Source organism: Homo sapiens, chromosome 19, assembly GCF_000001405.40.
Source record: "Homo sapiens chromosome 19, GRCh38.p14 Primary Assembly".
Classification (NCBI taxonomy): domain Eukaryota; kingdom Metazoa; phylum Chordata; class Mammalia; order Primates; family Hominidae; genus Homo; species Homo sapiens.
In genome coordinates this window covers 23,254,984-23,281,652 of record NC_000019.10, presented here as the reverse complement: position 1 = coordinate 23,281,652, position 26,669 = coordinate 23,254,984, and the positions used below count along the sequence as shown (strand labels likewise).

Below are 26,669 nucleotides of genomic sequence, written 5' to 3'. Positions count from 1 at the left end.
TTCTCTCTCTATTTTCCTGTGCTTCTTCCTGCATGCTGAATTTGACCTATTAGTTTTGTTTTTGTCACACTCCAGCCTGGGTGTGACAATCAAAGAGAGAGAGAGGGTTTTTTTTTTTTTTTTTTTTGAGATGGAGTCTCACTCTTTTGCTCAGGCTGGAGTGCAGTGGCACAATCTCAGCCACTGCTACCACCGCTTCCTGGGTTCAAACAATTCTCCCGCCTCAGCCTCCCGAGTAGCTGGGATTACAGGTACCTTCCACCATGCCTGGCTGTTTTGTATTTTTAGTAGGGACGGGGTTTCACCATGTTGGCCAGGCTGATCTTGAACTCCTGACCTCAGGTGATCCGCCTGCCTCAGCCTCTCAAAGTGCTGAGATTACAGGCATGAGCCACCATGCCCAGCCACTCACTTGGTTTTTGAAAATCTTTGAAAAATCTAGCAAAATTACTCAAACACTATTTTCATGTAAAAAAAGGAATTTTTTTTTTTTTTTTTTTGAGATGGAGTCATGCTCTGTCACCCAGGCTGGAGTGCAGTGGCACGATCTTGGCTTACTGCAACCTCTGCCTCCCGGGTTCAAGTGATTCTCCTGCCTCAGCCTCCTGAGTAGCTGAGACTACAGGCACGTGCCACCACACCCGGCTAATATTTTTTGTATTTTTATTACAGGGTTTCACCATGTTAGCCAGGATGATCTCAATCTCCTGTCCTCGTGATCCGCCCGCCTCGGCCTCCCAAAGTGCTGGGATTACAGGCGTGAGCCACCATGCCCCACCGAAAGGAAATTTTAAGGTGCTTATATTTCATACCTCAACAAGGAAAGCAAAAGCATCTATTCCCTTCAGATAATAAATGTATTATTGCATTATTTTCATGAAAAATCATGTAGTAAACAATTAGTCATATGTGAACATTTCTAGGAGGTACCAAGTTTTTGTTTGTTTGTTTGTTTTTTGGAGACGGAGTCTCGCTCTGTCACCCAGGCTGGAGTGTAGTGGTGCAATCTCAGCTCACTGCAACTTCCGCCTCCCAGGTTCAAGCAATTCTCCTGCCTCAGCCTCCCCAGTAGATGCGACTACAGGCACATGATGCCACACCCGCCTAATTCTTTTATACTTTAGTAGAGACGGGGTTTCACCATGTTGCCCAGGCTGGTCTCGAACTCCTGAGCTCAGGCGATCTGCCGGCCTCGGACTCCCAAAGTGCTAGGATTGCAGGCGTAAGCCACTGTGCCTGGCCTCAAGTTTTATCTCATAAAATTTAGCATGAAGCTCAGAAATAAAAATCACAGGATATACAACAAAAATATTCACTGTCACGAATTTACCTTGTAAAAAGAGAAACTGATGTTTTAATGAATCTATGTGACTCACTAATTACCTACCACATTTTCTTGTGGAAATGTATTTATTTTCTGCAGCCAAAATAGAAGAGAGATTTCCCTTATTTTATCCTTGGTAGCTAGCATTCTAATAGCTATGCCTTGGAATTCTGTTGGAAATCACCCAGCCATAAAAAAAACACATCTGAGAAAATTTCTAAATTCACCCAGGGAAAGCAAAAATGAGAATTTTTAGTCTGGGCACCATGGCTCATGCCTGTAATCCCAGCACTCTGGGAGATTGAGGCAAATGGATTACCTGAGGTCAGGAGTCTGGGATCAGCCTGACCCACATGGCAAAACCCCGTCTCTATTAAAAATTAAAAAATTATCCAGGCAAGGCCGGGTGCCATGGCTCACACCTGTAATCCCAGCACTTTGGGAGGCCGAGGTGGGCAGATCACTGAGGTCAGGAGTTCAAGACCAGCCTGGCCAACATGGTGAAAGCCCATCTCTACTAAAAATACAAAAATTACCCAGGCGTGGTGATGTGCACCAGCAATCCCAGCTACTCAGGGGGCTGAGGCAGGAGAATCGCTTGAACCTGGGAGGTAGAGATTACAGTGAACCGAGATTGCCCCACTGCACTCCAGCCTGGGCGACAGAGTGAGCCTTTGTCTCAAAAAAAAAAAAAAAAAAAGAAAGAAAGAAAAAAAGTAGGCCAGGTGTGGTGGCTCATGCCTGTAATCCCAGCACTTTGGGAGGCCGAAGTGGGGGGATCACCTGAAGTCAGGAGTTCGAGACCAGCCTGGCCAACATGGTGAAACCCATCTCTACTAAAAAAAAACAAAAACAAAAACAAAAACAAAAATTAGCCGGGCATGGTGGCAGGTGCCTGTAATCCCAGCTACTGCAGAGGCTGAGGCAGGAGAATTGCTTGAACTCGGGAGGCGGAGGCAGCCATGAGCCGAGATCACGCCACTGCACTCCAGCCTGGGTGACAGAGTGAGACTTTGTCTCAAAAAAAAAAAAGAAAGAAAGAAAGAAATAGGTAAATGAGAATTTTTAACCAAAGAAATATATTATTAGATTTTTCTGAAACTCACCGCCTTTATGTCCTTGTAAATACTTTACCTTTCAAACTCTACTAATAAAATGCAATTTACAGTTAAAAAACTGATGTTAATATAAGTGAACAAATCTTTTCAAGGTGACAAACCCAGGGAGTGGCAGTACTGATTAGAAAACAGATGTAGCCAGGTGCGGTGGCTCACGCCAGCACTCTTGGGCCAAGGCGGGCAAATCACCAGGTCAGGAGATGGAGACCATCCTGGCTAACACGGTGAAACCCCATCTTTAATAAAAATACAAAACATTAGCCGGGCATGGTGGCACGTGCCTGTAGTCCCAGCTACTCAGAAGGCTGAGGCAGGAGAATGGCTTGAACCTGGGAGGTGGAGGTTGCAGTGAGCCAAGATTGCACCACTGCAGTCCAGCCTGGGCGACAGAGTGAGACTGTCTCAAAAAAAAAAAAAAAAAAAAAAAATTGCAGAAGCATTATGAAAGGACAAAATAATTTGGGAAAATAGCTGAGGGATGAATTTAGAAAATCAAAGCCCAAGAGCACATTATTCATTTTAATGATAGAAAAAATTTGAGGAAAATGTTTAAAATAAAACAAAAACTTTGGAGAAATTAAATTCAACAGAGTTTAATTGAACAAAGAGTGATTTGCAAATCGAGTAGCCTGTGAAGCCAGAGTAGGCTCAGAGAGATTTCAGCATTGTGGGGGAAAGAAAGATAGATCAGATTGTTATTGTGTCTATGTAGAAAAAGGAAGACATAAAAACTCCATTTTGATCTGTACTAAGAAAAATTCTTCTGCCTTGAGATGCTGTTAATCTGTAACCCTAGCCCCAACCCTGTGCTTGCAGAAACATGTGCTGTATTGACTCAAGGTTTAATGGATTTAGGGCTGTGCAGGATGTGCTTTGTTAAAAATATGTTTGCAGGCAGTATGCTTGGTAAAAGTCATCACCATTCTCCAGTCTCGAGTACCCAGGGACACAATGCACTGCAGAAGGCCACAGGGACCTCTTCCTAAGAAAGCCTGTGCATTGTCCAAGGTTTCCCCCAACTGAGACAGCCTGAGATATGGCCTCATGGGAAGGGAAAGACCTGACCGTCCCCTAGCCCAACACCTGTAAACGGTCTGTGCTTAGGAGGATTAGTGAGAGAGGAAGGCCTCTTTGCAGTTGAGATAAGAGGAAGGCATCTGTCTCCTGCTCGTCCCTAGGATTCGAATGTCTCGGTGTAAAACCCAATCGTACATTCTATTTACTAAGATAGTGTGATACCCTACCTTGTTTTAACCGGATTGACTCTCTTTTAGCTGAGAGAGCCAGACAGACTCCATTTTTGTTTCTTCACTTGCAGCCCCCCTTATCCCCCTCCCTTAAGGACATAACTAGTGCAAGCTGACTCCAAGCACGTCCAGGAATGCACTTACTGATAAGATATAGAGGCAAGCTGAACCAGCAGCTCCTGGGGATGCGCTCGGTGGATGGTACCCAAAGCCCCTGCATTATCTCTTTGTGATAGTTTAAGCCCCTGCACCTGGAACTGTTTATTTTTCTGTAACTATCTCTGTAACCATCAATTTTTTAACTTTTTGCCTGTTTTGCTTCTGTAAAAATTGCTTCAGCTAGACTCCCCCTCCCCTTTTAGACCAAGGTATAAAAAGAAATCTAGCCCCTTCTTCGGGGTTGAGAGAATTTTGAGCGCTAGCCGTCTCTCAGTTGCTGGCAATAAAGGACTCCTGAATTAGTCTCAGAGTGTGGCATTTCTCTATAACTCGCTCGGTTACAACAATAGGAGAAAAACGCCATAAGGCTGGAGGTGAGACATGCTAGTGGCAATATTGCTCTTTACTGCACTGAGATGTTTGTGTAAAGTCAAACATAAATCTGGCCTATGTGCACATCAAGGCACAGCACCTTTCCTTAAACTTATTTATGACACAGAGTCCTTTGCTCACATGTTTTCCTGCTGACCCTCTCCCCACCATTACCCTATAGTCCTGCCACATCCCCTTCACCGAGATGGTAGAGACAGTGATCAATAAATACTGAGGGAACTCAGAGACTGGTGCCGGTGCAGGTCCTCCATATGCTGAGCGCTGGTCCCCCGGGCCCACTTTTCTTCCTCTATACTTTGTCTCTGTGTCTTATTTTTTTTTCTCAGTCTCTCATTTCCACCTTTCGAGAAATACCCACAGGTGTGGAGGGGCAGGCCCCCTTCAAGCACAGCCACAAGGTGGAAAAAGACTTATGGATAGAAAAAGCAAAATGACATACAGAAAATGGCAGTGAGGTACAGAAACAGCCAGATTGATTACAGCTTGGGGTTTGCCTTATTTGAACATGGTTTGAACAGTTGACATCCTTTTATTGGCCAAACCACAGTGGTTGGTACAAGAATGGGTACAGTCTATTTACATGTCCAGTTAGTTTTCAGTTTACTATGTAAAACAAAAAACAACTATTGACTAAAATTAAACAGGAAAGGGAGCAGCTTTAGGGTATAATTAATTTAACAATTTCTCCCTATTGGTCATCTTCTCAATTTTGAGAGATAGAACAATTTTTTTTTTCTTTTTGAGACAGAGTTTCGCTCTGTCACCCAGTGGCATGATCTCGGCTCACTGCAACCTCTGCCTTCCGGGTTCAAGCAATTCTCCTGCCTCAGCCACTTGAGTAGCTGGGACGATAGGTGTGCGCCACCATGCCCGGCTAATTTTTGTATTTTTAGTAGAGACCGGGTTTCACCATGTTGCCCAGGCTGGTCTTGAACTCCTGACCTCAGGTGATCTGCCTGCCTCGGCCTCCCAAAGTGCCGGGATTACAGGCGTGAGCCACTGAGCCCAGCCCACTGCTGTATCTTTAACTTTTCCCAAGGATTTGTGATTCCACTCTGGTTCTCCCCAGGTCCCTCACCCTGCCTATCTTCACTCCCTCACTGTGTGTTAGGCAGGTCTGGTTAGAATGGGGAGAATAATACATTCAGAGTCTGGCCTCCAAGGTATTCCCATCTGGGGTGCAGGGAGTAGGCAGGCAAGTCAGAGTCTGTGGTGGTACTTTTTGCTGGGTCTGAGGGCAGGAAGGCCAGGGCTGGACACATGAATATCTGGGGAACAACCAATGCTGATTCCTTCCCCCCGCCCAGAGTTACAACCAGGCCAGGCCAATCATCACGATTAATAAAACCACTGCAGCTCTCATTCTGCACAAAACTAAAGTGTACCCCAACCCCCAGCCCTACCACAGATCTCCAACTTCCCATCCCAGAACACAGGAAGCCCTCCATTGTTTTGACCTAAAGCCTGGACTTTAAGCCAGGTTGGGCCTGGGGATGGTGGCAGCAAAAGCAGCAGCCACAATGTCAAACATACAAATGATCTGAGAAATCTCATCTGCACGTCATTGAGTCAGAACTGACCTAGAGTTGTATACAAGTTAAGAATGACAGATCTATACCCTCATGGGCATGGACACCTTCCACACTTGCTGGGGAGAATGAGAGGCACCTGTTTCCCAGCTGCAATCTGATGTCCACATACACCCATTCACGTGTCTTCATTTAGGTCTCTGCATTGTATATTCATTGAACCAATGCAAATACATCTTCTGTGGGAGGGCATCATTTAGTGCAGCACCACCCCCCACTTGTTCTGCGGGGCAGTCAGGAGGGATCTGGTCAGCTCTTAATTCCCTCCCCCTTTCCAGCACTCATATCCAGCAGCACCATCTCAGGATTTTTGTTTTGTTTTCTTTTCTTTTCTTTTCTTTTTTTTGAGACGCAGTCTCGCCCTATAGCCAGGCTGGAGTGCAATGGCACGATCTCAGCTCACTGCAACCTCTGACTCCCTGGTTCAAGTGATTCTCCTGCCTCAGCCTCCCCAGTAGCTGGGATTACAGGCGCACACCACCACACCCAGCTAATTTTTGTGTTTTTAATAGAGATGGGGTTTCACCATGTTGGCCAGAATGGTCTGGATCTCCTGACCTCGTGATCCGCCCGCCTCAGCCTCCCAAAGTGCTGGGTTTTTTCTGCATTATCAAAATGATTAAAAAGTTGTTTTAAAATGTCCAAATGGGGCTGGGCGCGGTGGCTCACGCCTGTAATCCCAGCACTTTGAGAGGCCGAGGCGGGCGGATCACGAGGTCAAGAGATCGAGATCATCCTGGCTAACACAGTGAAACCCTGTCTCTACTAAAAATACAAAAAAAAAAAAAAAAAAAAAAAAAAAAAAAAAAAAAAAAAAAAAAAAAAAATTAGCCAAGCGTGGTGGCGGGCGCCTGTAGTCCCAGGTACTTGGAAGGCTGAGGCAGGGGAATGGCCTGAACCCGGGAGGCGGAGCTTGCAGTGAGCCGAGATCGTGCCACTGCACTCCAGCCTGGGAGACAGAGCGATACTCCGTCTCAAAAAAAAAGTCCAAATGGGCCGGGAACGGTGGCTCACGCCTGTAATCTCAGCACTTTGGGAGGCTGAGGGGGGCAAATCACCTGAGGTCAGGAGTTCGAGATCAGCCTGGCCAACACGGCAAAACCCTGTCTCTACTAAAAATGCAAAAAGTAGCCGGGCGTGGTGGCATGCGCCTGTAATCCCAGTTACTCGGAAGGCTGAGGCAGGAGAATCGCTTGAACCCGGGAGGCGGAGGTTGCAGTGAGCCAAGATTGCACCATTGCACTCCAGCCTGGGCAATAAGAGCGAAACTAGGTACAAAAAAAAAAAAAAGTCCAAATGTTTTTTTCTTACCCTTAAGTAGTAAATAAGATGCATTATACAAGCAAACCCAGGTAAGGGAAAGAGCAAGTGCATTTCAAGTCTCAGCTCACTTCTTTATTAGCTGTAATTCCCTGTGCACCTTACCCTACCTACTTTAGCCTGTTTTCCTGTCAGTAAAATGCACTAATGCTGAGAGGAGGGGGTTGGTATGGAGAGAGAGTGCTGGTGCTTTATCCAATCAGTGGCGCTAGCGCAGGAACCGCCCAGTTGGAGAGGAGGGCGTGGCTTCCGGCATTTGGTGGGGCCTTTGTATCTCACTCCCGCCACAGCTTGGGATCGGTCTCTGCTGTTTTACGTCCTCCACCTCGGGAGCCCCCGGTGACTGTCACAGCCTCTTGCCCTGTGATCTGCAGGTTCTGGGAGACGCACAGCTAAGATGCCAGGACATCCTGGAAGCTGGGAAAAGGTGAGTGTGCGGGGCTGGGCATCCCGAGAGGGGAGAGCGAGCTGTGAAACCGGCGGGACCGGCCTCCCCACAGTCCGCTCCCGGGTCGCCAACCTGAGTCTCCGCTGGCGGAGCTCCGCCCCAGACCCCTCTCGCCGTAAGATGGCGGCTGGGCCCGCAGCCGGGACCCCGGCGTCCCGCCCGGACCCTGCGGCGCCGTGTCTGGAGCTCCCTGGGCAGCTCTGCACGCAGCGCCGAGTATTTCCCGGATTGTTCAGGGATGCCAGGCGGGTCATTAGGGCAGAATTCCGACTCGTGTGTGCGTAGAAGGAGCTGTGGCAGGTGAGACTCCCAGTCTCTTGTTAAACATGTTTGTTTGTTTGAGACGGAGTCTTGCTTTGTTGCCCAGGCTGGAGTGCAGTGGCGTGATCACTGCAACCTCTGCCTCTCAGGCTCAAGCGATTCCCGTGCCTCAGCGCCCCCCCCCCCGGCCCCCGAGAAGCTGGGATTACAGACCTGCGCCACTACGCCTGGCAAATTTTTGTATTTCTAGTAGAGAAGTGGTTTCACCATGGTGGAAGGTGGTCTGGAACTCCTGGCCTCAAGTGATACGCCCGCCATGGCCTCCCAAAGTGCTAAGATTACAAGCATGAGCCACCGCGCCCAGCCGCTTCTATTAAATATTAAAGGGAGTCAATGTTAAAACGTTAACGAGTTTATTTGAGCAGTGATTGGTGAAATGGAAAACACCCAGCCATAATATGTGGCCCACCTGAGAGACATAAAGGAAAGGGTTTTATAAAGGGCGTGTGAGAAGGCAAACCAAATTGGAGAATTGGTTACAGTTATGTAGTCACCTTATTTGTATGATTCAGGTGGAAATTTCCTGGTTATGTAATCAGAGGTTAATTGCAGGTTTATGATTGGTTAAGCCTGAATTTTGTTTCTGCCTAAAATAGTAATTTATAAGAAGTGAATTTGAGTTAGGTTTTTCATTTTTTACTTATGAACACAGGGCACTAGAGCCACTTCAGTCTAATTTCCTGCTTTTTAGTTATCTCAACACTCCACAGGACTGGTTTACCTCTGTGACTTCCTAATGTATGGCAAGCAGGACTTCAAATCCACCTTTTCTCCTAGCTTAACTCAGGCTTGCAGTAAAATTATAAATGTCCGCTTTCATTCCTACATTCTCAAATGTAGGAAATGAGGACAGCTTCCTCTCTCCAATTTACAACACTATCAACTATTTGTCCTTTATTGTACATTTCAAACACAGTGTTTTAATTGTTAATCATGTTTTTACACAGCAGTGAATGGCAGGTTTTTAAAGATTTGTTTTCTGTCTGTAAACATTTTTTTTTTTTTTTGAGGCAGTTTCACTCTCGTTGCCCAGGCTGGAGTGCAATGGCGTGATCTCAGCTCACTACAACCTCCACCTCCCAGGTTCAAGGGATTCTCCTGCCTCAGCCTCCCAAGTAGGTGGGATTACAGGCTTCTGCCACCATGACTGGCTAATTTTTGTATTTTTAGTAGAGACAGGCTTTTGTCTTGTTTGCCAGGCAGGTCTCGAACTCCTGACCTCAGGTGATCCACCCGCCTCAGCCTCCCAAGTCTGTAAACATTTTACGTGAGAAAAAAGTAGAAAATAATCCTCTGAAATTCCACTGGGAAAAAAAAAAATCTGTGCCTCTCTTCCTTTTATCTTTTCTAGGCACACACACCTTAGTAAATCTTTGGGTTGAAGCTTTGCTTTGGAGAAATTACAGAGCCCTTTACAGCAGCCCTCCAGTCTTTTTTTGGTCATGAGTTTCAGAATGGTCTGGGATAATCCAAGATACCCACAGTGGCCATATCTCTTGGAGTGTCTAATGAATATCATCCCCTGGGTCATCTCTTGGAGAACAGCCTGAGGAGTAAGAGTGTAGCCTCTCAGAAGAGCAGCTGGATGGCCTAGGCCTGTGGAAAATTTTCTTGTATACTATTTGTCTAAAAAGCTAACCTCTTAGAAAATTAAAATTATTTTTTCACAAAGGAACCCTTATGAACTGTTGGTGGGAGTGTAAATTAGTTCAACCATTATGGAAGACAGTGTGACAACTCCTCAAAGACCTAAAGACAGAAATACCATTTGACCCAGCAATCCATTATTGGGTATTTACCCAAAGCAATGTGAATCATTCTATTATAAAGACTCATGCATGCGTATGTGCACTGCAGCACAATTCACAATAGCAAAGACATGGAATCAACCTAAATGCCTATCAGTGATAGACTGGATAAAGAAAATGTTGTACATATACACCATGCCACTGTGCACCCATACAAAAAATGAGATCATATCTTTTGCAGGAACGTGGACAGAGCTGTAAGCCATTATTCTTAGGAAACTAACACAGGAATAGAAAACTACCGCATGTTCTCACTTACAAGTGGGAGTTAAGTGATGGGAACACATGGACCCATAGAGGGGAACAACACATACTGGGGCCTATCGGACGTGGGAGAGGATCAGGAAAAATAACTAATGGGTAGTAGGCTTAATACTTGGGTGGTGAAATAATCTGCACAAAAAATCGCCATGACACACATTTATCTATGTAAAAAATTTGCACATGTACCCTTGAACTTAAAAGAATTTGGTAGCTTTTCCAATAATTCCCTGACAGGGATTTTGCTTGTATATGATACCTATTATGTATAAGACATTTTGATTACACAGATGAACAGGGTTCAACATACCTGCCCTGTAGGAGTTTATAGTTCATTAGCATGGATAGATGTGTAAATGATTAATTTATTCTGGAGAATAATACTTGCACATAAAAAGACATAAGGTATTGAGCTGAATGGTAATAGTGATCAATTGTGCCACTGACATAGAGGGAAAATCAGAGCTTTATAAAGGAGGTGACATTTGAGTGGGTGTCAGGGTTTAATAGAACTTTTTGTGTTAATGCTGCTGGTGCAGAGTATACCTTTTTTTTTTTTTTTGAGACAGAATCCCGCTCTGTTGCCCAGGCTGGAGTGCAGTGGTGCGATCTCGGCTCACTGCAACCTCAGCCTCCCAGATTCAAGTGATGCTCCCACCTCAGCTTCCCAAGTAGCTGGGATTACAGGCATGAGCCACTGCACCCAGTCCCAGAGTAAAAAATTATTTCCAGCCTGGCCAACATGGTGAAACCCTGTCTCTACTAAAAATACAAAAAATTAGCTGGGCGTTGTGGCATGTGCCTGTAATCCCAGATACTCAGGAGGCTGAGGCAGGAGAATTGCTTGAACCCGGGAGGCAGAGGTTGCAGTGAGCCAAGATCACCACTGCACTCCTGCCTGGGCAATAGAACAAGACTCCATCTCAAAAAATAAAACAAAACAAAAAAAAGCCTGGGCGTGGTGGCTCATGCCTGTAATCCCAGCACTTTGGGAGGTTGGAGGTGGACGGATCACAAAGTCAGGAGTTTAAGAGCAGCCTAGCCAATATGGTGAAACCCTGTGTCTACTAAAAATACAAAAATTCGCTGGGCGTGGTGGCGGGCACCTGTAGTTCCAGCTACCCGGGAGGCTGAGGCAGGAGAATCGCTTGAACCTGGGAGGCGGAGGTTGCAGTGAGCTGAGATCATGCCACTGCACTCCAGCCTGGGTGACAGAGCGAGACTCTGTCTCAAAAAAAATTATTAAAAATAAAATGTTACCCGTTGACTCTGAAATATATTGAGGGGTCTTCCCTGATGACATAAAAATGAACAAGTGTGTAAACAGTTAAAAAGTTTCTTCTCAACCTATTTTTTTTTTTTTTTTTTTTAGATGGAGTTTCACTCTTGTTGCCCAGGCTGGAGTGCATTATCCCAATCTCGGCTTACTACAACCTCCGCCTCCCAGGTTCAAGTGATTCTCCTACCTCAGCCTCCTGAGTAGCTGGGATTACAAGCACCTGCCACCACACCCGGCTAATTTTTTGTATTTTTAGTAGAGATGGGGTTTCATCATGTTGGCCAGGCTGGTCTCGAACTCCTGACCTCAGGCGATCCACCCACTTCCCAAAGTGCAGGGATTACAGGTGTGAGCCACCACGCCCGGCCTCTCAACCTATCAACCTAATTTTTATTCTTAGTAGACACGTTGGTGGTGAGCCAATCAGATGTTGTTATTGATGAGAAAAAGCAGAAATGATTTCTGTTGATTCTTGAAATAAAATTTTTTCCAAAGGACAAGAAGCTCCCATCCCAGTAAGGCAATGCAAGAACCTGAAGCAAAATGCACCTGAGGCTTACAGTGGGGTACAGTACAGTGTCTCCTGGGAAGGTGGTCACTAATTTAATGGGCAGGGTGGGGATGGGAGAATGTTTTGAGTGATATTATGGTCTGACTTGACAGTGGAGTCAGACATGTTTGTGTTCCAATCAGCACTGCCACTTCCTGAGTTTGTCACCTTGGAAAGATTTTTTCACTTATTTTGATTTCAGTTTTTTAATAACTGTAAGTTACATTTCATCAAAAGAGCTTAAATGATGTTTAAAAAGTCAAAGACTTTGAAAGGTATATTTCAGAAAAATCTAGTCATATATGTTATTTGTTACAGATTCTTATTTACCTTTATCTTCCCCAGAGTGAATGTAGTAAGTTTCTCATGTCTGTTTTTTCTGGTTGCATGATTTTTTTTTTTTTTTTTTTTTTGAGATGGAGTCTCGCTCTGTCACCCAGGCTGGAGTGTAGTGGTGCAATCTCGGTTCACTGCAAGCTCTGCCTCCCGGGTTCATGCCATTCTCCTGCCTCAGCCTCCCGAGCAGCTGGGACTACAGGCGCCCGCCACCATGCCCGGCTAATTTTTTGTATTTTTAGTAGAGACGGGGTCTCACCATGTTGGCCAGGATGGTCTTGATCTCCTGACCTCGTGATCCACCCGCCTCAGCCTCCCAAAGTGTTGGGATTACAGGCATGAGCCACTGTGCCCGGCCGGTTGCAAGATTTTAAATAGAACCCCAGGGCTTTGCTTTGGGGAATGCTGTCAGAGAAGAGAAATGGAAAAATCTTTTTTCCATTAAAGCTATAGAAAGTGAATACATTTCTACAAGCAAATGTGATAGATTAATTGGTGCATTGTATATATTTCTCAAACCATCAACTCCTCTTTTTTGCAGGGTCTAGAATTTGTAACGATGGGTATCTCTGTTCTGTATTCTGTTGTCTGAATGTCCAAGTTTAATGCTAAATTTTATGAGATGGAACTTGACACCTTCTAGAAATGTTCACATATAGTTGTTTATTAAATTGTCTATCAGGGAAATATTTAAATAACATGTTATTGTCTGAAAAGGACAGATACTTATGCTTTTCTTTTTTTTTTTTTTTTTGAGATGGAGCCTCACTGTGTTACCCAGGCTTGAGTGCAGTGGCATGATCTCGGCTCACTACAACCTCCACCTCCCGGGTTCAAGCGATCCTCCTGCCTCAGCCTCCCAAGTAGCTGGGACTATAGGCAAGCACCACCACGCCCAGCTAATTTTTGTATTTTTAGTAGAGACGGGTTTCACCATGTTGGCCAGGCTGGTCTTGAACTCCTGACCTTAGGTGATCCACCCACCTCAGCCTCCCAAATTGCTGGGATTACAGGTGTGAGCCACTGTGCCCAAACCTACTTAAGCTTTTTATATTGTAGTAGAAAATTTAAGTCTTACAATTTCCTTACAATATTCTATAAACAATGTGTTGGAGTGATTTTACTCTTTTCTTGAAACGTTGGTCATTTTCGTTTTTTGACTTTTTTTGTTGTTTTTTTTTTGAGACTGAGTCTTGCTCTATCGCCCAGGCTGGAGTGCAGTGGTGCGATCTTGGCTTATTGCAACCTGCGCCTCCCGGGTTCAAGGGATTCTCATGCCTCAGCCTTATGGATAGCTGGGATTACAGGTGCATGCCACTACGCCCGGCTAATTTTTGTATTTCTAGTAGAGATGGGGTTCACCAAATTGGTCAGGATGGTCTCGAACTCCTGACCTTAAGTGATCCTCCTGCCTCAGCCTCCCAAAGTGCTGGGATTACAGGCATTGAACCACCGCACCTGGCCTTACATTGGTCATTTTCTTATTTAAAACTAAGTGAGTAACCCTGACTGGTAAGTAGAAGCCTGAACTCAGTGACTGCAAGCTAAGGACAGCTTTGCCTGTAAAGTGAGATCATTGAAGGAGCAGCCAGTTCTGCCTGAGGAGCCTCCCCTGCAGATGTTCTGGCCTGCTCACAATAGCCATGGACAGAGCATTTATACTTAGAGAAGCCACGGAGCCCTGAAAACCTCGAAATCCACAGGCAGATGCAGTTGGGATTGGCACAAAAGTGGGGTTGGGAAGCTCTTTCTGGGAATAGAGTTGTTATTATTCTGAGGTTGTTTCTAGATTTTGTAAAATATGACAAATTTAGATTTAGGTAAGAAGTTACTTAATTTTTTGAGTCTCATTCTCTCACCCAGGATGTAGTACAGTGGTGCAATCTCGGCTCACTGCAACCTCTGTCTCCTAGATTCAAGCGATCTTCTTGCCACAGCCTCCCTAGTAGCTAGGACTACAAACAGGCGCCCTGATGCCTGGCTAATTTTTGTATTTTTAGTAGAGATGGGGTTTCACCATGTTGGTCAGGCTGTTCTCAAACTCTGGACCTCAGGTGATCCACCCACCTCAGCCTCCCAAAGTGCTGAAATTACAGGTGTGAGCCACTGTGCTTGGTAAGAAGTTACTTAATTTTTTGTTTTTTTTTTTTTGAGATGGCATTTCGCTCAGTTCCCTAGGCTCGAGTCCAATGGGGTGATCTTGGCTCATTGCAACCTCCGCCTCCCGGGTTCAAGCAATTCTCCTGCCTCAGTCTCCCAAGTAGCTGGGATTACAGGCACCCGCCATCATGCCCAGCTAATGAAGTTACTTAATTTTAAAGGAGTATTGCAACAAGGGGAAAGCACCAATTATAAGATGTTGGAGAATTTTAAAGGTTAGAGAGAAAAGGACTTTCTTTCATAAGGAAGAGAAAACAAAGTCAGAAAAAAAGTGGGAAGGGGAGGGATAGAACATGGTGAAAGTAGATGCTAGATCAGGGAATATTTTACGCAGAAGTCAGCCTGGTTTGTTTGTTGGTTTGTTGGTTTGTTTGAGACGAGGTCTTTGCCCTGTTGCCTAGGCTGGAGTGCAGTGGCACAGTCTCAGCTCACTGCAGCCTCCACCTCCCAGGTTCAGGCAATTCTCTTACCTCAGCCTCCCGAGTATCTGGGATTACATGTGCAACAGCACACCTGGCTAATTTTTTATATTTTTAAATTTATTTTTACGTTTTTTTTTTGAGACAGAGTCTCGCTCTGTCACCAGGCTGGAGTGCAGTGGCGTGATCTCGGCTCACTGCAACATAGCCTCCCGGGTTCAAGCCATTCTCCTGCCTCAGCCTCCCAGGTAGCTGGGACTACAGGCGCAGGCCACCACACCCAGCTAATTTTTGTATTTTTAGTAGAGACAGGGTTTCACCATGTTGGCCGGGATGGTCTTGATCTCTTGACCTTGTGATCTGCCCACCACGGCCTCCCAAAGTGCTGGGATTACAGGTGTGAGCCACCGCACCTGGCCTGAGTGCTATTTTAAATCATCCAGAATCAGCTGTGTATAATTATCAGGTAGAAAAGTCAGTGATTTAGAAGCACACTTTGCAAATTGTATCATGTGCAACAATAAACTGGAGATCATCTTGAGATGCAGATTCTCATTCAAGAGATCCGGGGTTGGGCTTATGTTTCTGTGTTTTTTTTTTTTTTTTTTTTTTTTTGGGAAAGAGTCTTGCCTATTCCCCACGCTGGAGTGCAGTGGCACAATTTCGGCTCACTGCAAACCTCTGTCTTCAGGGTTCAAGCAATACTTCTGTCTCAGCTTTTCAAGTAGCTGGGATTACAGGTGTGTGCCTGTAAGAATTCATGGAGAATATGAAATTGAGAGTTTTATAGAATTTACAGGTTTATAGCATTATAGCAAGAATGGCAACAATTTTTTTTTTTTTTTTTTGAGACAGTCATCTTCTGTCACCCAAGATGGGGTGCAGTGGCGCGATCTTGGCTCACTGCAACTGCTGTCTCCCAGGTTTTAGTGATTCTTCTGCCTCAGCATTTTGAGTAGCTGGGATTACAGGTACGCGCCACAAAGCCTGGCTAATGTTTTTTCTGTTTGTTTTTGTTTCTGTTTTTGTTTTTTTGAGACGGAGTCTCGCTCTGTCGCCCAGGCTGCAGTGCGGTGGCACCATCTCGGCTCACTGCAAGCTCTGCCTCCCAGGTTCATGCCATTCTCCTGCCTCAGCCTCCTGAGTAGCTGGGACTACAGGCGCCACCACGCCCGGCTAATTTTTTGTATTTTTAGTAGAGACGGGGTTTCACCTTGTTAGCCAGGATGGTCTCGATCTCCTGACCTTGTGATCCACCCGCCTCGGCCTCCCAAAGTGCTGGTATTATAGGCGTGAGCCACTGCGCCTGGCTGATTTTTTTTTTTTTTTTTTTTTTTTTTTTTTTTTTTTTTAAATAGAGACGTTTCACCATGTTGGCCAGGCTGGTCTGGAACTCCTCACTTTAAGTGATCCTTTGGGATCATTTGGAGTCCCAAATTGCTGAGATTACAGGCATGAGCCACCATGCCTGGCAACAATCTTTCTTGGGCTATATTGACTACTAAATTTTATCCTAGCAATTTTTTATATATTAATGCACAATACAACAATAATTTATGAGAAGTAATAATATTTGCCCCTGTTTATGAAAATTTTCTGGGCCAGATGCAGTGGCTCATGCCTGTAATCCCAGCACTTTGGGAGGCTGAGGTGGGTGGATCACAAGGTCAGGAGTTCAAGACCAGCCTGGCCAACATTGTGAAACCCTGTCTCTACTAAAAATATAAAAATTAGCTGGGCATGGTGGTGGGTGCCTCTAGTCCCAGCTACTCGGGAGGCTGAGTCAGGAGAATCGCTTGAACCTGAGAGGCAGAGGTTGTAGTGAGCCGAGATCACACTATTGCACTCCAGCCTGGGCAACGAGTAAAACTCCATCTCAAAAAAAAACAAAAAAAAAAAAAAAGAAAAAATATTTTGTGAAATATTTAGTACACAGTAGAGCTTTGTTGTTTTTTTTTCCTTTGTGTTTTTTTGGGGTTTTTTGTTTTGTTTGTTTTTTTTTAATTGAGACAGAGTCTTGCACTGTCGCCTGGGCTGCAGTGCAGTGGCATGATCTTGGCTCACCACAACCTCCGCCTCCCGGGTTCAATCAATTCTCTTGCTTCAGCCTCCCAAGTAGCTGGGATTACAGGTGCCTGCCACCATGCCCAGCTAATTTTTTGTATTTTTAGTAGAGAAGGATTCCTCCATGTTGGTCAGGCTGGTCTCAAACTTCTGACCTCAGGTGATCTGCCTGCCTCGGCCTCCCAAAGTGCTGGGATTACAGGCATCAGCCACTGTGCCCGGCGACTCTTTTCTTACGTGGGCTTTGCTAATAGTAGAGATTGTGACCTATCTCTGGGCCCAGCACCTAGATATTATGACTGTCCTACCCTGCCTGGTCCATGCCCACAGAAAAGAGTGACTTATCACTAGGCTTAACACACAAGTGATTCGATTCTTCTGCATGATCCCAGCCCACATGGCTTATTGTGACATATCTAGACCCATCACCTAGATGATGTAACTCTCCTTTTCTTTCTGGGAACTGTCCATAATGAGGATTGTGACACATCACTTGGCCCAGCACTTATGTGATATGACTCTCTTCTTTTGCCTGGGCTTATCAAATTGGGTGATTATGTCATATAGCTGTACTCAGCTCCTAGGTTATGTGTCTCTCCTGTTTCTCCTGAGTCCAACCCACAGAGGTCATTGCAACATATCTCTGAGCCCCTAATTTACGTAGTTTGACTCCTGCCTGGGCCCTCCCTTCAGTGATTTTTGTGACATATTTTTTGACTCAGCACCTAGGTAATGTGACTCTTCTCCACTGCTTGGACTCTGTCACAGAAGGTATTGTGATGTATCACTGGGCCTGACACCTAGGTGAAGGTACTGTCTTCTCCTGCCTGGGCCCTGCATAAATTGTATATTTTGACATGTCACTGGGTTCAACACATGGGTGATTCAACTCTCTCACATGGACCTTGAGCATGGGGTTATTAGGACATTTATTTTTGTTCATCTCAGTGATATGACTCCTTTCCTCCCTGAACCCTGTCAAAAAGAAAGATTGTGACATATCACTTAAACCAGAACTTAGGTGATGAGACTCTTCTGTCTAGCAACCACTTATTTTGGGTATTGTGACATTTCACTGGGCCAAACACCTAAAAAATGGGAGGCTCCTGCCTCAGCCCTGTCCACATATATCTGGACATATATCTGCATCCATTACATAAAACATGTGATACCTTTTCTGCCTGTACCCTGCCCACAGGAAAGATTGTGACACTGCAGGGCCTGGCCGCCAGCTGTTGTGTCTCACCTGAATGTACATAACTTTCAGGAGAAAGTTGTAACATGTCACTGGTTGAAAACCCAGATGATGTGACTCTCCTGGCTTTTCACAGCCCTCAGGGAAAAAATTTACATATCAGTGGCCCAGCATCCAGGTGATGCGACTCTCCTGGGTGCTTTCTGCCAACAAGTTGATTGGTAACATATATCTCATCCCAGCTCACAGGTTTGATGATGACTCTAATACTTCATACCAGTCAATAGAAGAGATAGTGTCTCTCACAGCTAGGCTTAGAAAAAGGAGTAAAATCTCAGGTCTCCTCTCTGCATGAAGGTTATAGCGAATCACCACTCTCATATATTGTATAAAGCACTCAGATGATACAGAGCATGTCATCATAGGACCCAGCAAACAGGTTAGATCATGTTTCATGTAAGCGCTCCCTGACAATTTTTAGAATTGTCATCGTCACACATGGTGAAAGTCCACTGATGAGGTCATAATTCTCATGCACAGATGCAGTCCACAGTTAAAATTGTAACTATCATATGTAAACGTGGCCACAGTTGAGATGGTGACTCATTTCTAAACCCAGCTCATAGGTGAGTGAGGACTCTCCTCTCTGGACCCAGCCAATTGAAGAGATGTTGACCCATACCTAGACTTAGGACCACATAAGATCATGGGTCCAAAGCAGCGCAAAGTTCTCAGAGTAGGTTGCAACTCATACAGTCCTCAAGAGAGTGCCCTTACAGGGCCAAGCACACAGGTGAGATTGTCAAACTTACATTCACACCCAGTCAATAGCAAAGATTGTCATTTACTTAAACACACCCTACTTTTGAGGTTCTGAATCTCACTTTTGGAGGCAGTTGAATGTTGGAAAATTGACTCTCATTTGTGTGGATTTTGTCCACATTTGGGTGACTCTTTAATCAAAATTCAGCACACCTTTGTGACTGTAACTTCACTAAGGAGCTTTATTTATTTAGAGATGAAGTTTCATTCTTGTAACCCAGGCTGGAGTGCGGTGGCGTGATCTCCGCTCACTGCAACCTCTGCCTACTGGGTTCAAGCGATTCTCCTGCCTGATTCTCCCAAGTAGCTGGGATTACAGGTGCTCACTACCATGTTGGCTAATTTTTTGTATTTTTAGTAGAGATGGGGCTTTACCATGTTGGTCAGGCTGGTCTTGAACTCCTGACCTCAAGTGATCCGCCCACCTCGGCCTCCCAAAATGCTGAGATTACAGGTGTGAGCCACCGTGCCCAGTCTAAGGCACACAATTTGCAAAGGAAATTGAGGCTCTCGCACAAATCCAGTCCACCCTGTACTTACACCCAACATGCAGGAGGTGTTGACTCTCATCCCTTGACTCAGGACATGTGTGTAATTGTTAATGTCATCGCAAGGCCTTTTGACAAGTGTAATTGTGACATATACCTTGGCCTAGCATCTGAGTTATTTGTTGTTTCCTGGGTCCAGCTCACAGTGCCATATCACTGGATCCAGACCCTTGGTAATGTGATTCTATTCTGCCTTGATACAGCCCACAGGGGTCATTGTGACATCGCTGGGCATTGCACCTAGGTGATTTGAGTCTCCTCTTCTGCCTTGGTGCTGCCCACAGGTGTATTGTGACATATTGCTGGGCGTATGTTATGTGACTCTTGCTTGTGCCCTAAACACATAGGCCATTGTAACATTGCTGAGTGCAACACCCAGGTGATGTAACGCTTCACCCTGGACCTGTCTACAGAGGGCATTGTAATATATGTCTTCACCAATCACCCAGGAAATGTGACTTTTTATTCCTCCCTGTTCTGTACTCACAGGGGGTATTGGGACATATTGGGCCCAGCACCTAGCTGATGTGACTTTTCTTTATTCTAGGTTCTGACAACAAAGGAGATTGTGACATATTGCTGGGCCTAACACTAAGGTGATGTTAGTTATTTGCTTTGGCTGTGCCCTTGGAAGGCATTGAGACATACTGCTGTGCCCAGCACCAAGATGATGTGAGTTCCCTGCCTGAACCCTGATCACAGGAAGCATTGTGACCTATCTGTTGACCCACTGCAATCTCTCCTGTGGGAAAAGCACAGATAAATGCCCTCTTTTACCTACGTGATTTGACACTCCTCTACTGCCTGGGCCGTGCCCACAGAATAGAGAGTGACTTATCACTGGACCAAGCACACCAGTGATGTAATTATTCTGCTTGGTCCTTGCACACACAAGTCACTGTGATATATGTTTGGGCCCATCACCTAGATGATGTGACTCCTCTTCTGGGGTCCACAGTGGGAATTGTGATACATCGCTTGACGTAGCTCTTATGTGATGTGACTTTTCTTTCATGCTTGGGCCCTTCCTACTGGGATGATTGTAACATAAAGCTGAGCCCAGCACCTACGTTATGTGACTCTCCTCTTGTTTATGAGCCCTACCCGCAGGAGGCATTGTGACATATCTTTAGGCCTCTCACTTAGGTAATGTGACTTCTTTGCCTAGGCCCTCCCCTCCAGAAATATCATGAAATATTTCTGGACCAAGAACCTAGGTGATATGACTCTCCTCTTCTGCTTGGGACCTGCATACATTGTGTGTTGCAACATGTCTCTGGGTCCAACACCAAGGTGATGTGACTGTCCTGCATGGATGCTCCCACGGAAATAACACATCTCTTTATTCATTATCTAGGTAACGTGACTCTTCTGCTTCAGGCCTGCCAAAAGAAAAGATTGTGACAGATCACTGGACCCAGCACCTAGGTGATATGACTCTCCTCATTTGCCTGAGACCTGCATATTTTAGACATTGTGATATACAACTGGAACAAACACCTAGGGGTTGGAAGGCTCCTGCCTGAGTCCCTCCCACAGGAGGCCTTGTGATGTTTTTTTGTTTGTTTTTTGTTTTCTTTGAGATGGAGTTTTGTTATTGTTGCCCAGACTGGCATGCGGTGGCGCAACCTTGGCTCACCGCAACCTCCGCCTCCCGGGTTCAAGCAGTTCTCCTGCCTCAACCTCCCGAGTAGCTGGGATTACAGGCATCTGCCACCATGCCCGGCTAATTTTCTATTTTTAATAGAGACGGGGTTTCTCCATGTTGGTCAGGCTGGTCTCAAACTCCTGAAATCAGGTGATCCACCTGCCTTGGCCTCCCAAAATGCTGGGATTACAGTTGTGAGCCACTGCACCCAGCTTTGTGATGTATTTCTGCATCCATCATGCAGGAGATAAAACTCTGTATTTTTGCCTGCATTCTGCCCACAGGGAAGATTTTGACATATTGTTGGGCCCAGCAACCAGTCGTTTTGTCTGTCATATCTGGGCCCAGCACCCAAGGGATCTCACTCTTCTACCTGTGCCCTGCTTTCAGGAGGGATTGTAACATCCCTGGTCAAGCCCCCAGTGATGTGATTCTCCTGTTTGATGCCTGCCCTCAGGGAGGATTGTGACATAGCCCTGGCCCAACACACAGTTCATGTAACTCTTGAATTTGCTCTTTACATACAGGTAGGATTGTGACATATATCTGGCCAAGCGTACAGATGTAATGATGACTGTCATACCTTGAAGAAGCCAATAGCAGAGAGAATGTTGCTCTCAGGCTTAGGAAAATGAGGAAGTCTTTCTGTACAAAAGTCATAAAGAATTACTACTCTCTCACATATATTACGCCCTAGTGTGTTACAGAGAATGTCATAACAGGGCCCAGCACACAAGTGAGATTGTGTTTGTCCTATGCACACTACACCAACCTTTACAGTTGTCACCCTGACCCATTGACAGAGTCTGCTAGTGAGGTTCTGAATTACATGTGAACACAGTCCGCAGTTGGAATTGTGACTGTCATATGTGAACATCTGGCTACAGTTGGGATGGTGACTCATTTCTAAATCCAGCTCATAGGAAGGTGAAGACTCTCCTATCTGGACTCAGTTGGTGAGAGAGATGTTGACTCTCATATCTGGGCTTAGAACCACAGGAAAGATTCTGGAGCTCCTTGTGCAAAGGTCATAGAGGATTATCAATCTTGCATATTGTATAAAGTCCTCAGGTGACACAGAGTGTCTCTCGAATGCACACCCAGGCAACAGTAAAGATTGTCATTCTCCCACATAAACACATCCCACTGTTGAAGTTCTGAATTTCACAGAGGCTGTCAAAAGTTGGATAATTGCCTCTCATGTGTGGATCTGGTCCACAGGTGGGTTAGTGACTTCCAGACCAAGGTTCAGCGCACATGTAAGGCTGTGACTACACTAAGAAGATACAGTCTGCAGAAGAAACTGTGGCTCTTTTGCACACATTCTGTCAATCATTGTGATTGCGACTCATGTACTTAGACCCAACATACAGGAGGTGTTGACTTTCATACCTTTAGAACCTGGACATGTTTGGAATTTCTAATCTAATCCCTGGACTTTCCTGCAGGTGTGATTGTGTGCATTGCAAAGCACCTTAGTGATTTGACTCTCCTGCCTTGGCCAAGCACACAAATGAGATTGTGACATATGGCTTGACTCTGAACCTCCAAGATGTGACTCTTTTTTCCAGCCTTGGAGCTGCCCACATGTTGCATTGTGACATATTCCTAAGCCCTGCACTCAGGTTATGTGACTCTCCTTTTTTGCTTAGGCCCTGAATATTTTTCATGTTAAGACATATTACTAGGTCCAACACCTATAAAATGGGAGACTACCACCTGGGCTCTTTCTACAGAGGGCCTTGTGACATACCTCTGCATCAATAACCTAGGAGATGTGATGCTCCATTTTTGCCTGTACGTGCCCCACAGAAAAAATTGTGGCTGGCCCAGGTACCAGGTGATGTGTCTCTGCTGCCTGGGCCTGGACCACAGAGAGCATTGTTACTGATTGCTGGGCTCAGCACCCAGGTGATGTGACTCTGCTGCCTGTGTGCTGCTTTCAGGAGAAGGTTGTAACTTATTCCTGGCTGAGTATGCAGTCACACTCCTGACTGATCTCTGCCCTCAGAAAAGGTTGTGTCAAGCCGGGCCCGGTGGCTCATGCCAGTAATCCCCAGCACTTAGGGAGACCGAGGTGGGTGGATCGCCTGAGGAGTTTGAGACCAGATGGCCAACATGGTGAAACCCCGTCTCTACTAAAAATACAAAAATTAATCGGGTGTGGTGGCGGGCACCTGTAAACTCAGCTATTCGGGAGCCTGAGGCAGGAGAATTGCTTGAACCCGGGAGGTGGAGGTTGCAGTGAGCCAAGATCATGCCACTGCACTCCAGCCTGGGCAGCAGAGCAAGATTCCATCTTGGGAAAAAAATTACAAAAATTAGCCAGGCGTGGTGGTATGCACCTGTAGTCCCAGCTACTTGAGAGGCTGAGGCACAGCAGTCACTTGAACTTAGGAGGCGGAGGTTGCAGTGAGCCAAGACTGTGCCATTGCACTCCAGCCTGGGCAACAAGAGCAAAACTCCATCTCAAAAAAAAAAAAAAAAAAAAAAAGGTTGTGTCATATTCCTGGCTAAAAACCCAGATGATGTGACTCTCCTCTCTCCCTATTCATAGGCAGGATTGTAAAATATATCTTTTTTTTTTTGAGACAGTTTCATTTTGTCACCCAGGCTGGAGTGCAGTGGCATGATCTTGGCTCACTGCAACCTCCGCTTCCTGGGTTCAAGCAATTCTCTTGCCTCAGCCTCCTTAGTAGCTAGCCACCACACCTGGCTAATTTTTGTATTTCTATTAGAGATAGGGTTTCCCAATGTTGGTGAGGCTGATCTCAAACTCTTGACCTCAGGTGATGCACCTGCCTCAGCCTCCCAAAGTGCTGGGATTACAGGTGTGAGTGACTGCGCCTGGCCTGTAAAATATATCTTGACCTAGATCACAGATGCAATGATTACTCTCATACCTCACAGTATTTAATAGGAGAGATGCTCTCTCTTGCTCTCGCTCTCTTTTTTCTTTTTTTTTTTTTTTGAGACAGTTTTGTTCTTGTTACCCAGGCTGCAGTGCAATGGCGTGATCTCTGCCCACCACAACCTCTGCCTCCCAGGTTCAAGCGATTCTCCTGCCTCAGCCTCCCACGTAGCTGAGATTACAGGCATGTGCCACCACGCCCAGCTAATTTTGTATTTTTAGTAGAGATGGGGTTTCTCTATGTTGGTTAGGCTGGTCTCGAACTCCCAACCTCAGGTGATCTGCCCACCTCGGCCTTCCAAAGTGCTGGGGTTACAGGCATGAACCACTGTGCCCAGCCCAAGATGCTGTCTCTTAACAGCTAGGCCTAGAGTCATGAATATGATTCTGGGTCTCCTTGTACAAAGGTCATGAAGAATTGCCACTTTCTTGCATACTGTATAAATCTCTTGTGGTACAGAGAGTGTCATTACAGGGTTCAGCATACAGATGAGATTGTTTCTCATATACACTCCCCACCAACTGTTAGAATTGTCACCCTCACACATGGACAGAGCCCACTGGTGAGGCCCTGAATCTCACACACACACACAGTCTACAGTTAAAATTGTGACTGTCATATGTGAACATCTGGCTAGAGTTGAAATAATGACTTATTTCTAAATCCAGTTCATAGGTGAGAATTCTACCTGTCTAAGCCTAGGTAGGATAGTCAACATGTCCCTAATTGGCTGGGGGACATGTTGACTCTCCTACCTGGGCTTAGGGCCAAACAGTTCATGGAAGGGATGAAGGCTCTCAGCTCTCATGCACAGATCCAGTTGGTGAGATTGTCACTAGCATACTTAGACCCAACATACTCTGATACCTAGAACTGGGACATGTGCAGGATTTTTAATTACTGGACCTTCCTGCAGGTGTGATTGTGACATATGTCTTTGTTACACACCTGAGTGGTTTGATGTTCCTGCCTTGGTTCAACCCAAAGTGAAGATTGTGATGTGTCACTGGACCCAGCATCTCAGTGATGTGACTCTTCTTTTTGGACACCACAAATTTTGGGTATTGTCAAATATTGCTGGATCCTGTACCCATGTTATGTGACTCTCCAACCTATGTCCTGCATGTTGTGCCATATTGCAGCACAATGTGTCACATTAGACATCATTACATATTGCTGGGCTCAACACCCAAGTGATGTAACATTTTCCTGGGCCTTGACTACAGGGGGCTTTGTGACATAACTGAATGCCCATAACCATGGTAATGTTACTCTTCTCCTGCCTGGTCTCTGCTCACAGGGAAATTGTGACATACCATTGGCCTAGCATCTTGGTGATGTGACTCTCCTCTTTTTCTCAGGCCCCACATATTTGGGTATTGTGACATACCCAAATGTGACACTGGGCTCAACACCTAAGGGACGGGAGTTCTCTACCTGGCCCCTTCCTGAAGGGGGCATTGTGACATACTTCTGCACAGGTATGTCACAGTTATTACCTAGGAGATGTGACTCTCCTCTTTTGCCAGCACCCTGCTTACAGGGAAAATTGTGGCACATTTCTGTGGCCAGCAACCAGGTGATGTGTTTCTCCTGCTTGGGTCTTTATTACAGAAAAGATGGTTGACATATCACTAGGCCCAGCATCTAGGCGATGTGACTGTCTTCTTCTGCCTGGTCCCTGCTTACAGGAACATTGTAGCATATTGCTATGCCCAGCACTTTTCTCTTCTTTTAGGTTTTGCCTGCAGGAGACTTTGTGACATTGCTGGGCCCTGCACTGACATTATCTGACTCTTCTGTCTCTGCCTACTTGGGCCATTGTGACATATTGCTGGGTCCAACATCCAGGTGATGTAACTTTTATGCCTGGGTCCTGGCACCAGAGGACATTGTCTTTGCACCACTCACACAGGTGATGTGATTTTCTTCTGTTACCTGGTCTCTGCTCACAGGAAGAATTGTGACCTTGGCCAGGCTCGGTGGCTCACACCTGTAATCATAGCACTTTGGGAGGCCGAGGCGAGTGGATACCTGAGGTCAGGAGTTCGAGACCAGCCTGGCCAACATGGTGAAACCCCCATCTTACTTAAAACACAAAAATTAGCTGGGCGTGGTGGCAGGCGCCTGTAGTTCCAGCCACCCACGAGGCTGAGGCAGGAGAATCGCTTGAACCAGGTAGGCGGAGATTGCAGTGAGCCGAGATTGCGCCACTGCACTCCAGCCTGGGTGACAGGGAGACTCCATCTCAAAGAAAAAAAAAGTGACCTTTTGCAGCACATAGCTGATTTGACTGCTTTGTGGAGTACACCAAGCAGGTTGTCAAACTGGTGGTCCCTTTACTGAAATTTTATTTCCACAATGGTGTTGGAGGGGCAGCAGCAGAATCCGTGCCTTTTCTTCTGGAGTGTGTGAGAGTCCGTGGTCCTGAGTATCTCACACAGATGTGGCAATTTATGTGATGTTCTGATTAAGACCATTGGTACAGAAACAGATTCAGATGTCCTCAGAAATAATGCATTGTTTAGCAAAGTGCATTGAAGTTATGGGAGATGGATGCCTTAATAATGAACACTTTGAAGAACACCTTTGCCACATGTCCTCAGGACCTTCTGAGGGCTGTGTCATGGGGCATGGTCACTCATATTTGACTCAATAAATTTCTTCAAATATTTTAAAGAGTTTGACCCTTAGTCGACACAGTTGATGTGTGGAGCACTCTTGCTGTGCCAGCCAGTGTTTCAAAGC

The 26,669-nt window shown here is 45.7% G+C and overlaps 1 pseudogene across 2 annotated transcripts, besides 2 other annotated features; it reads left to right on the top strand.

Moving 5' to 3' along the window:
* Positions 7,338 to 7,397: a silencer, noted in NCBI's record as "silent region_10461". NCBI's record gives its function as "represses an Ori minimal core promoter by ATAC-STARR-seq in GM12878 lymphoblastoid cells {active_cell/tissue: GM12878}" and the evidence as "EXISTENCE:reporter gene assay evidence [ECO:0000049][PMID:35858748]".
* IPO5P1 (importin 5 pseudogene 1) lies at positions 7,402 to 26,600 on the top strand (annotated as a pseudogene). 2 transcript variants are annotated; one of them, NR_103741.1, is made up of 5 exons: positions 7,402 to 7,577; positions 11,361 to 11,435; positions 19,909 to 20,033; positions 20,719 to 20,789; positions 21,537 to 26,600. The product of NR_103741.1 is annotated as an importin 5 pseudogene 1, transcript variant 1 (transcript). The 2 variants fall into 2 exon arrangements; NR_103742.1 differs by lacking the exon at positions 11,361 to 11,435.
* Positions 7,708 to 7,927: a silencer, noted in NCBI's record as "silent region_10460". NCBI's record gives its function as "represses an Ori minimal core promoter by ATAC-STARR-seq in GM12878 lymphoblastoid cells {active_cell/tissue: GM12878}" and the evidence as "EXISTENCE:reporter gene assay evidence [ECO:0000049][PMID:35858748]".
* Positions 26,601 to 26,669: the final 69 nt, after the last annotated feature.